We start from the raw sequence: 12444 nt of genomic DNA, 5'->3' as shown, positions 1-12444 counted from the left end.
ATATCAAAATAACATATGATAACCATATATATACATGCGCGCGTGTGTGTGTGTGTGTGTGTGTGTGTGTTTGTGTGTGTATGGTTTTTTTCTTTTAGAGACACGGTCTTGCTCTTGCTCTGTCTCCCAGGCTGAGGCAGGAGGATCACTTGAGGCCAGGATTTCGAGACCCGCTTGGGCAAATAGTGAGATACTTGCCTCTAAAAAAAAAATTAAAAAAAACTAACCAGATGTGATGAGTACACGCCTATTTTCCCAACTATTCTGATACCATATCTTGATCAACAACCTCCATGTTGCTAATTAGCAAACTAAATATTAGCAATTGATTACTGTGGTTGAAATCAAGGGCCTGTGGACTAGCATAATAAATGTTAGAAGTAAATTCTAATTGGTGAAATGAAAGGTATTTAAACTATGTGGGTTGGCCAAAATGGTTTTAAAATACTCTCCAGAAGGACATTATAAAGAATAATCCTGTAAGACCTCTAGTCTTCGACCTTAGGGATGGTGTCAAAACCTTGATTCCTAAACAGTACTGTGTTAGCCATGAGATTAGGAGGATTGCCGGCTGCCTAAAGTGACAATCATAGTCATTTATTTTACCTCCATAACAAGAGTAAGCATGCTATAGCCTAAGGTTCTAGCTTTTTGTAAATAAACATTTATTGAAACTCAGCCACACCTATTTTGCGTACATGTTGTCTATGGCTACATTTGCACTATAATAGCAGAGATGGAAAGATGCAACAGAGACTGTCTAACCTGCAAAGGTGCAAAACCTTAAATATTTACTATCTGGCCCTTAAAAAAAAAAAAAAGCTCACCTACTTCTGCCTTAGAGTATTGTTGTACTTGCCTCGAATGAACCTTTCATGAAAAATGGTAACTGATTCATCTATTGCTGGGACTTTATGAAATAGATTGTTTGAGCTGTTTTGTGCCCATTTGCTAATAAATGCTTGTATACTGTGTCCATCTGTGTAGTAGAATTTGGCCTAAGGCTTGCTTTTATTATCATCTAATAATGCAGTTGTTGGGGAATCGTTAATCCTCGTTCACCTTAAATTTCTTTGATGGCTTTGGTTTCTATGATAACGAATGTCAGGGTTGTGCATGCGTCATCATCAAATTGGCTTAGCTGGGTTTCAATGCTGTACTGTATCTATTGTCCAGAAGCCCAGTACTTCCCCTGCAAAAGACTTATCAAGCTTCATCATATCATCCTTCAAAATTATTGCATCCCCCTAGCATCAGTTTCACAAAGGCAAGCAAGTGTCCCATTCACCTACATCCCTAATGCCTGGCCCATCTCAGAGGTTCAGGATATGTATGTAGAATGGAAGGAGTAGATACAGCAATAACTGCAAGGGCATTAATGGAAGCTTTCTAACACTAAACTATAGTTGGTTAAAAGAATGAGGCCAGTAGTCAACTAGACTCAGAACCAGGTCAGAGATCCACAGAAACCTCCACAACCCCTGTTTGTCTCAGTGGCTGTTCTGTCTCACCTCCCACTCTGGGTTTGAGGGAGTGCAACTGTATTTAGTACCATCCAAGGCTCTGGAATATATTATCTTCTTAATTCACCTCATAGCCCTAAGAGTGAAGGAGTATCATCTACGTTTCCTACATGAGAAAAATAAGGCACAGACACAGGTAGGGTAAGTGATGTGCTTAGGTTCAGGTGATCACAGAACCAATGTTCTTTTCCCCATGTCATGATGCCTCCATGCTCAGTGAGTAGTTTTCAATTAAGAAATGAGACAATGAACACGTGAGTGGATTACCTTCTCTGTGGCATTGCTATGGGAGGGTAGCAACCGTGTTGCCTTCTCACAAGGTGACATGCTCCAGCTTCAGGTGATTCTAATCATCAGCACGGGTAGGATCTAGTGCTTCTATATTGTGGAATTACCAGCATCTCCAAATGGAGCTCCTGGATTCCTATGCTTGCTTATATTTATAAGATATCTATGATAATACAGGCTGAATATCCCTTATCTGAAATGATTGAACCAGAAATGTTTCAGATTTTGGAAGATTTGTGTTATACTTACCAGTCGAACATCCCTGTTATTGAAAATCTGAAATTTGAAATATTCCCATGTGCATTTCCTTTGAGCATCATGCTGGCACTCAGAAAGTTTCAGATTTTGGAATATTTCAGATTTCAGATTTTTGGTTTAGGAATAGTGAACTAGTATTCAACAAATTCTTGTCCACCAAACATCTGCAATAAATTAGAAGAGGTGGTGGAAAATAAGCAAGAGAGTGGGTTTCGATGATGCTGGAAAGAAGATGGATTTTATTTTTGTTCCCCTTACCTTTTTATTCCCTTCGTGTATCATTTCCATGCAGAAAGTGCAAATTAATGGTCACATCGAACTATCTGTCAACATATTTCTGCTCTTGCAGTATCAAATTATGTTGGCAATAATGTTTCCAGCTGCCTAGGACTCCATTGCAATTTAATTTGAAAAGAACTCAAATTGCATCTCCAAATGGATAAAAAATTAATTTTGCATACAAGCTATCCACCTCCACATTTTCAGCCCCATCCCCAAATTATCTTAATTTAGGTTCAACTTTGAACAGTACATATGCTACAGGCAACTCCACATGCAAACATGAATACGTAGCAAATTCATGAATTGAAAATCTGTTTTGCTGCTTCTTTTTTAATAAGATGTTCTGCCTTGATTAAGGTCATTAGAAGATTCTACAGCTATTGCCTTTGACAGCAGGGATGGAGGCTGAGTCCATACAGAACAAAAAAGGGAGCCAATTCTGACTTAACCACATGATTACCCTTAACAATTGGAGTGTAAGGAGATCCTGATTCAACCCTCTACTTATTGCTTTTCCCCTGCCCTCTATTAGCACCTAAATTCGGGTGGCTTGGTCTTCAGCTATCACTACTTTCTAGATTTATTCATTTATGTACTTATTCATTCATTTATTCAGCAGCTGTATGTTATAGTTATAAAATGAGGAGATCTAGGGGCTCACAGGTTGGCAGTGGAGGTGAACATGAACCAAACATATGAACAATAACCCTGAAGTCTGATAAGAGCTATGGGAGACATATGATAGCAGGTTAAGGAAAAAAAATGTCATCGAGGCATTAATTATGGGCAAGGGAGACTGTTAGAGAAAGTCACAAGTAAAGGGTGGCATTGGAGCTGGGCCTTGAAAATATTGAATGAGGATTTGTTGGTGGCATCCCAAGCAGAGGAAATAGCTGGGCAGAGGCTTGGAGGTGTGAAGGCATTTATAATCCCTTGCTTTGCTTTAAGAATACAGGATTTGATAAGTGAGAAGTGGAAAATGACTCAGGGGCATTTGGGGGCAGGAAGGTACCTGTTGCAGGGTGGGCTCGGGTATTAGGATGAAAATGGTACTTCAGGATGGACATGGTGCTTTAATAAGAGCTGATGTAGAAAGAGGAGCAGGGTTCAGAGGTGAGGAGGACCACCGTGCCTTCCTGAGGCCACAGTAAGAATGGAGAAGGTTCTGAAAACCTGAGTGGGTCAGTCACACATGCATGAACACAAGCCTGTCCCTAACATGTGCATAATCACAGAATCTGAGATAGGAATAAAAATGTCAGCCCGTGGCCCCTTCCCCCTTCTCCTTTCACCCAACAACATCTCTCCCCACAAGGGCCCCACATATGTGTGTGCACAGCAACCTCAGTCCTCAGGTGCAAGTTCTGTCCACTGCCCCCAGACAGCCATCCTTTGGCCATCCTTAGGCCAACGGCCACTCACAGGAAGGACAGAACAAAGGAAGAAACTGAGTGTAGGGCCTCGTGGCAGGGAATTCTAGGGGGTCATAAATGTGGAGCCTGGACCAGAAGGGAGAGGACAGAACCAGATCCTTTGGCCAGCCCATTGGCCCCCGATCCCTTGCTCCGAGAAGAGGGACAGTCTGAAGTGGGCCAAAGTGGCTCTCTAAAGTACAGGGCATAGGACAAGGCCACTGTTGTCTAGCCTAAGAGCATACAGAAGGTGCATCCAGAGGTAGAGCCACTTTGATTTTCTATCAGAGGATGGTTTTCCAGCTTCCCAGACAAGCCACACTCTTCCCACTGTTTGTCATCTTCTTGGCCTGTGGGCTATTACTCAAGAAGGTCATACGGACAGGGCTTTATCTGGAGGCAGAAACCATAGGCTCTAGGCTTGGCTGTATTTACACGGGGGATGTAAATTCAACAAACCAATCTCCACTGCACACACAAGGCTTTCTTAGCAATTTCCAACTTGTTTGCACCAACCCGAATGTAAACCCCAGATTCTCCATGCTGCAGGCAATTACCCAGCAGAAGCTGGGTTTGGCAGATGAGGTTTAGAGGGGTCGGACTGAAAGCATGAATGCTTCCATCACACTCTAAAACCTAGTTTCCATTGAATAGGATTTCAGGATATTCTCTTGCTTGAATGCAAAAAAAATATATATATATATATTACCCTTAAAGACCTGGCTGACATGCTGAAGGGGACAGAACAAGGACTGTGGAGTCAGAGAGTCTGAGCTCAGTTCCCAAGAACAGGTCACCATCTGTTCATCTCACAGGAACTGCCCCTTGACAGACCCTGTGCCACGTTGTGAGGTTACTGGCAAACAGAACATGGTCTGTTGCAGCCTGAGAGGGGGGACAAACACATGAACAAGCAATTCCTGGGCAGTGTGACAAATGCTAAGTGTGTGTTGGACAACAGTGCAAAGTGCCATGGCCAAAGAGTGGATGTCTGGGGGAAGTGGACAGAGCTTGCACCTGAGGACTGAGGTCGCTGCACACTTATATGTGAGGCCCCCTGCAGGAAGAGATGCAGTTTGGTGGAAGGAGAAGGGGGAAGGGGCTACAGACTAAAATGTGTATTCTTATCCCAGACCCATCTGTGATTTTGCACATGTTCGGGACAGGCTTGTGTGCATACATGTGTAACTGACCCATTCATGGGAGCCCAGAGAATGGGGGCTCGGCCATGTGGCCCTGGGTAAGTTACATCTCTTCACTGAGTCTCAACTTCCTATACCGTCGAGTTGTTTTTAGGACACAAGTGCTAAGGGTAGCTCCTAGCCCAGAGTTGCTACTTAATAGCCATTGTCTTTCCCTTTCCTGAATGCGAGTTCTCAGATTTACAAAATGCTTTCACCTGCAGGTACCGAATCTCTAGGTTCACCAGAGTCCTTCTTGCCTTTGGAATACAAACTGAGATTTCCTTGAATCTCTGAATTTTCATAGCCAGTAGAAAAATCATCTCCCCAAAATCATCTCCCAAGATTTCAGTAACACACATGAGCACATTTTCCAAGGTTCCTTTGCCTCTGGTCCCTGTGTTCCCACGTGGTATCTTATTAGGCCCAAGGCATGCCGACCTCAACCCTTTCTAGAACCCACAGGAGATCCAGGCACAGCAAAGGTCTTTGTTGTATTTTGAGGGCCTTGCTGGAGATCTAAAAATCACCTGGGGAGTGATCATATTGGGCTTCACCCAATATTCTGCCATTTGTTCACCCTCACACCTCTCTTATGCTATCCAAGCCCCCAGTGGGTTTATTTTTTCTCTTCCACTGGAGTCTCAGCATAAGTGATACTGAGGCCCCAAGAATGCAGCTTCTACCCCACACAAGCTTCCAAAGGCATTTCTCCAAGAAAGGCAATTCTCTCTAAAAGGAGTACCTACTGTTAGCCAAAGGCAATTTTCTCTCTCTTTACAGTTCATTTTATGCTCATTAACAACCTTTTGAGACTAGTGTAATAATTTCCACTTTATAGATGAGGAGATGGAGGCTCAGCAATGAAGTGCCCTTGCCCAAGGTCACCCAGATAGTGAGTGCCAGAGTCTCGCTTCAAGCCACGCTCTAGTCAGCAGCACTGTACCCGGGGCCCGCCGTGACAGTCACACATGCTCAAGAGGGAACAAGTGGCTTTTCCTGTATCCCAACTTTCCCGGTCTCAAAGAGTCTCTTTGCTGTGTGGCAAGATCACGATATCCTTGTCTTCTTTAAAAAGATGCTCCTGTTTAGTCCTTTAAGAGGAGCAGAAATGTGTGTATATGCACACCTCCAGAGGTGAGCTCCAGGGAGAATGGAGACCAGGGATCAAAAGGCCAGCGGTCAGCTTTGCACTAAATGTGTTTACATCACTGTACCACTCTCTCCCGCAGGTCCTAGGCTCCTGAGACCCAAGTCATTTTTGCCTTGTAGTATTTTGGCTTTCTCTCACTATTGTCTTCAAGTCTCCCCAGACTTCTGATGAAGGCGACATGCCTCATATTTATGTTCTTTCCCTGGTCTCAGTCTCCGGTGGCGTCAAGGTGCTGAGAAAACACAGGTTTTCTACTCTGGCAGACCTCATATCTTGGCTGTGCCTCTCACTCTGTGGCTTTAGGCCAATTATTTTGTCTCAAAGAGCTTTGGTTTCCTCTAGGACAGAGCTAGTGATGCCTTCCTCCCAGGTAGTGAGATTTTCAACATAGAGAGTGCAACTGATAGCTTACAGAGAGTTTTTACTTTGCACACTACATGTGGGGTCAGGCAGACACAAGTTCAAAACCGCACTTTGTCACCTGCTGGCCTTGCTACTCTGTACTAATTCCTGCACATTTCTGGACCTCAGGTTATTCATCTGTAATGTGGGGTGGGCCATCCTTCCCTCCTAGGGTCATAAGATGGTTCAGAAGATAGAGCCCAGCACTTGTGGCTACAGTTCCATCAGTGGTGTTTTGTCTTTATAGCTTTGTTTGTGGGTTAAGGCCATAATAAAGACCTCAAAAATTATATTTAACATGAGATATGGTACATTTTAAGATGTTCAATAACATGTGGTCTTAGCCTTGGGTTTAAATGGGTCTTAAGTGTTCCTCTTCTCCCTGCCTCAGGAGGGAGGTGAGAGTGCCATGTGGGTGACTGTTGTATTGGGGCTTGGCATCAGTTTGGAGGGCAAACCCAGGGGAGGAGTGTCGAAGAGGCCCTGAGCAGGGGCAGTGGCTCTCTGCCAGGAGAGTTCTGGCACCTGGACAAGTGGACAGGCCCCAGCTAGGCAACGCTGATGGGGATGCTCGGGGCTTCCCAGGCAAGCCATTTATTGCTCTCTGTGTGCCTGTACATCTGCTCTCATTGCAGTCGGTACAACTGCGAGATGTTTAGCCAGCAGCCGTAATCCCACCAATCATAATCCCCAGCTACAGGGACCACATTTCACCTTCCATTCCACAATAGGCCCTCAGCAACAGCTTGTTCAATGTCACATTCTCAGGGTCACCCATTTGATTTGGGGATGCTGGCTCTGCTTTGCCCAAAGGACCTGTGAGCATGAATAATTGGGCTGTAAGAGTGATCATGAATTCCTCAGTTGATCAGGGGCCAGGGCTGCCCACTATCCTCAACACCCTCACTCCTGCAGCCACGTGGGCAGCTCTGTGCGGGCTTGCCAGGTTCCCTGACATTCCTGTGAACTATGTTCCTTGGTAGGACGCCGACACAAGTTACAGGATATTTTCCCCATAGGGACAGATCAACTAGCACCAATAGCATCCCCTCTTTCTTATTGCTGCATTGGTGCAGAGGTAGCCTTACCCTTAAATGCTCTGAGGGGATTGGAGCAATGATGGAAACCTAGTCCATCATTTTGCATAAGGGTGCTCCCAGCACTGCCACTCACAAGGCATTCAAGGTAGACACAGCATGCGGAACACTATTATTATTACTATTACATATATATTATTACTATTACTGCAAAACAAACAACACACCCCAGTTATCATACGTAGAGTGCTTATTAAGTTTGAGTTCTAACTGCTTTACAAGCATCTCATCTAACTTCCTCTTCCCCCTGCCATGAGGTTAGCTACTATTATTATCATCATTTTACAAATGAATTAAAAAGTGGATCCAAAGAGGATACATAATTGGGCAAAGTTCTGTAGGTATGGGGAGAAGTACTGATTTAATCTCCAGCCTGTGCCTGACTCCTCCCAGATAAGAAAGTCTGACACAAGAATTTCTGGGTGTATCTATCACATGAGAAGTTATGTTTCTAACATAACAAATGCCTGACCCAAGAGCCAGGCATGGTGGATGGTGCCTGCAATCCCATCACTTTGGGAAGCCAAGGCAGGAGGATCACTTGAGCCCAGGAGTTTGAGACCAGCCTGGGCAACATAGAGAGACCCCATATGTGAAAAAATAAAAATAAAAAATTAGCCAAGCATGGTGTAGGCCCACCTACATGTGAGGCTGAGGCTAGAGGATCATGATTGCTTGAGCCTAGGAGTTTGAGGCTGGGATGAACTCTGATTGTGCCACTGTACACCAGCCTAGGATAGAGAGTCAGACTCCCATCTCAAAGAAACAAAACAAGCCACCCCAAAGACAAATGCCTAAACCTCAACATAAAATGAGCTTTACATGTGAGGATTTTTGAAAAACATCATGTTTATTATAACCTGTTTTATATTAAAAAAATCTATTTAATGTGCATAAAGTATAAATAGAATATTCCTAATAAAATTAGACATAGACAACATTATGTATGGTGATCTGGGACCAAGATCAATAGGAGGCATGGAGTGGGAGACAGCATTAGGGTGAGAAGGCATGCTCAGATTAGCTTTTAGAATGATGTTCCCAGAGGGACCAGGGGAGAAAAAGAGGGATGGAAGACTGTTGTAGGAGGTTAGGAAATGATGAACTGTGTAGTCAAGGAAAGGAGAGGAAATCCTAAAGCAGGGTTAATGGGTCATGATGAACGCATGGATAAACTGGGTGTTGCGGGTTGAGGCTGTGACTCAGTTTCCAGCTAGTGCATCTGGATGTTGTTGGCTGAAGAGGAGAGGCTGACCTCCAAGGGGACAGGCTGGGGCTGAATTCAGTATAAGGAGGCAGGTCAGCTCTCAGCAGCCGTCTAAATAAGCGTATCCCAGAAGCGAGGAGTGTGCTGTGTGTGGTACCAAGAAGGTTTTCAGTGGCACTTTGATGCACCCTTAAGAATTTAACAATTTCACATTTATTTTTATGGTTAACATTTATTTAAGATGTTTTCCTTTTATATATTTATGTTTTCTATTAGATGCATGTATTTAAATAAGACAAGGGAGATTGATGTAAAGAAAAATGTTCTCTAAATTATATTGCCTGTGTCAAAAATCATGATGGCAGTGATTGAATGGTGGAGATATGTTTGGAAAAGCTGTGTTCCCTGTTGTAGCAGAACATGTACCCCAGCTTCCCGATGGTCTCTTCAGAACCCTTGTTTCTTGCCTGCATGTTTTGCAGATCCGGTACATGGCCCACAGAACGTGGAAATCGTAGACATCAGAGCCCGGCAGCTGACCCTGCAGTGGGAGCCCTTCGGCTACGCGGTGACCCGCTGCCATAGCTACAACCTCACCGTGCAGTACCAGTATGTGTTCAACCAGCAGCAGTACGAGGCCGAGGAGGTCATCCAGACCTCCTCCCACTACACCCTGCGAGGCCTGCGCCCCTTCATGACCATCCGGCTGCGACTCTTGCTGTCTAACCCCGAGGGCCGAATGGAGAGCGAGGAGCTGGTGGTGCAGACTGAGGAAGACGGTGAGCAAGGGAGGAGAGCTTACATGGGAATGGGGATATTGAATCTATTCACAGGGCCATGGCAGTCAGTTATGAGGCTTTTATTTTTCCTACATTTTTAATTCCCTCACACACACCTTTCTTTTCTTAGGCCTTCAATGAAGGACTATGTAAACTGTGCATTGCACAACTCCAGGGAGTGCTTTCCCATCACAGTGACAGTTCTGCCATAGACTTGCACTCAGCTTTGGCCCTTTTGTACCCCCATCCCTCTTCTTGCTTTATACCAGTGTATTAGACCATTCTTGCATTGCTATAAAGAAATACCTGTGGCCAGGTGTGGTGACTCATGCCTGTAATCCTAGCACTTTGGGAGGCTGAGGCAGGTGGATTGCCTATCTCAGGAGTTTGAGACCAGCCTGGGCAACATGGTGAAACCCTGTCTCTACTAAAATACAAAAGAAATTACCAGGCGTGGCAGCGTGTGCCTGTAGTCCCAGCTACTCAGGAGGCTGAGGCTGGAGAATTGCTTGAACTTGGGAGGCAGAGGTTGCAGTGAGCCGAGATCGCACCATTGCACTCCAGCCTGGGCAACAGAGTGAGATTCCATCTCTACCAAAAAAACAAAACAAAACAAAAAAAACACCGGAGACTGGGTAATTTATAAAGACTGGGTAATTTATAAAGAAAGGAGGTTTAATTGGCTCACAGTTCTGCAGCTGTACAGAAAGCATAGCACTGACATAGCTTGGCTTCTGGGGAGGCTGAGGAGCTTTTACTCATGGTGGAAGATGAAGTAGGAGCAGGAACACTACGTGGCCAAAGCAGGCGCAAAAGATTGGCGGTGCCACACACTTAACCAGATCTCCGGGGAATTCACTCACTGTCGCGAAGACAGCACCAACCCATGAGGGATCCACTTCCATGATCCAATCACACCTCCAGCACTGAAGATTACAGTTCAACATGAGATTTGGGAGGGGACAAATACCCAAACTATATCAACCACCTTCTCTGTCCAAGGTTTGACTGCACTGATGCCTCCAGAAAGATAAAACATGTATCACATTGTTTAAACATGTTGAATTTGGAAGTCAGACAATGCTGAATTATGTAAGAATTAAAAACAGAAAATAGATATAAAAAGCTTAGCGTACACATTGGATCCACCCAGAACTGAATATTCATCTGGCTGGATGACAGTCATCTCAAGCTCAAGGTATCTGAAATTGAACTAATCTCCAATTCTATACTGACTTTCCTGTATTCCTTATCTCAATGAACTGCACCTAGTAACTCAAGATAGAGACCTGAAAGCCAGCCTAGGAGCCTCCATGTCTCCCTCCCAAACCCACCCCACCTCCATACCCCCATTTCTAATGGGTATGCTTCCTGCAGTTTATCTTCCTCATAACTTGAGACTCCAAGAACCTAGAGCCACTACTGCTAGAACACATAACTTTTCCTGCCTCTCTGTCCTTACCCATGCCATTTCTCCTGCTTGGAATGACCTGTCCTCCATGTTTGCAAGGAAACCTCTATTGACCTTTCAAGTCTTTGCTCAAATGTTACTTCCTCCAGGAAGCTTTCCTTGATTGCCCCAGATTGACTTGGATGTTTCTTCCCAGGCTCACCGCAGTTACCTTAGTGATAGCATAGAATTCGCCAGTTCCAGGGCTTACCTAAGAAACACTTCCCCATGACCATATTTCAGTTTCCCCTCCAGCCAGCCCAGGCTGCCTCTTGCCTTGTGGGATGGCTTTAGATAGTTCCTGAGAATCAGACTCAGATGAAGATTCGTGTGCATGTGACTGATTAAGAAAGTTTTCCCAGGGGAGACTGGGAGGGGAGTGAGGGAAGTGGGACAAGGAAGGGGAGAAAGCCAAGGTGCAACTTTTGGCCAAGTCCAGCAAAAACTGGCTGCAACCTGAGCCTTCAGGGAACTGTTCAGGGTGGGCCATGCATCACAGATGTCCTAAGTTAGGCAAGGAAGCTGCCAGCCAACAGTTAGGGTCTGGGATGGGGAGGAGAGATTCAGAGGTAAAATTTCAGTAACTTTTGTCTCTCTGCATGTGCAGGTAAAGGATAGAGTCTCACAAAAATTGTATAAAGAGGTCTGAAAGGTCTAGCCAGAGCACTGGCATTGTCAGCTGCATAAAGAAAATACCCGGCTTGACTCAGATTAGCCTTAGAACTTGAAGACAGAGCCTCTACTGTGGCAATTCTGTTTAGGACATGTTTTCTTTTTTTCATTTTCATTTTCTTCTTTCTTTGTGTGTTCCTGGGATTCAGTAGGATCTAGTACTCTTGTTTCATCTAAGCGAGTTCTAAATACTTCAGAGTTATGACCCTGAGTAGAACCCAGATTCACATTCTCAGCTGCAAAATCTCATGAGAAGACAAGGGAAATAGTGCCAGCCTCTTCTCACCCTGCCCCTAATTCTCACTTCCACCATGTCCCATCCTAGATCTGGAAGTTTTACACAGTCTACTTTGATGATCCATCCCTCCCTTACACCCTTCCAGTTCATCCTCGTAGCCATCCTCTTTGCAGACCCCACACACTGGTCTTTGGGGTCATCCTTGGAGTAGACTCTGTAAAACTTCCAGTTCTAGGAAGATTTCCCTAGATCTGACTTCATTGTTTCAGAAATCTGTAGCCCCTTCCTCCAGCAGGTAGAATTGTGCGCTGTCAGACAATGTACACTCTGGAGCCAAGCATGCCTGGACAAGTTGTTTAACCTCTTAGTGCCTTTGTTTCCTCATCTGTAAAATGGAATTAATTGGCCAGACATGGTGGCTCACCCTGTAATCCCAGCACTCTGGGAGGCTGAGGAGGGCAGATCATGAGGTCAGGAGATTGAGACCATCCCGGCTACTGTG

The 12444-nt window shown here is 44.7% G+C and overlaps 1 protein-coding gene across 11 annotated transcripts in view; it reads left to right on the top strand.

The window, feature by feature from the left end:
- The window catches only part of PTPRT (protein tyrosine phosphatase receptor type T), a 1158017-nt gene that overhangs the window by 708059 nt on the left and 437514 nt on the right, over nt 1–12444 (top strand). For all 11 annotated transcript variants that reach the window (XM_047439848.1, NM_001394024.1, NM_007050.6 and 8 more), the window contains exon 8: nt 9286–9582. In XM_047439848.1, the coding sequence (XP_047295804.1) occupies nt 9286–9582 (297 nt within the window). The remainder of the gene's footprint in view (nt 1–9285; nt 9583–12444) is intronic.

Source organism: Homo sapiens, chromosome 20 (genome assembly GCF_000001405.40).
Source record: "Homo sapiens chromosome 20, GRCh38.p14 Primary Assembly".
NCBI lineage: Eukaryota > Metazoa > Chordata > Mammalia > Primates > Hominidae > Homo > Homo sapiens.
This window is presented reverse-complemented; position numbering and strand designations above follow the sequence as displayed.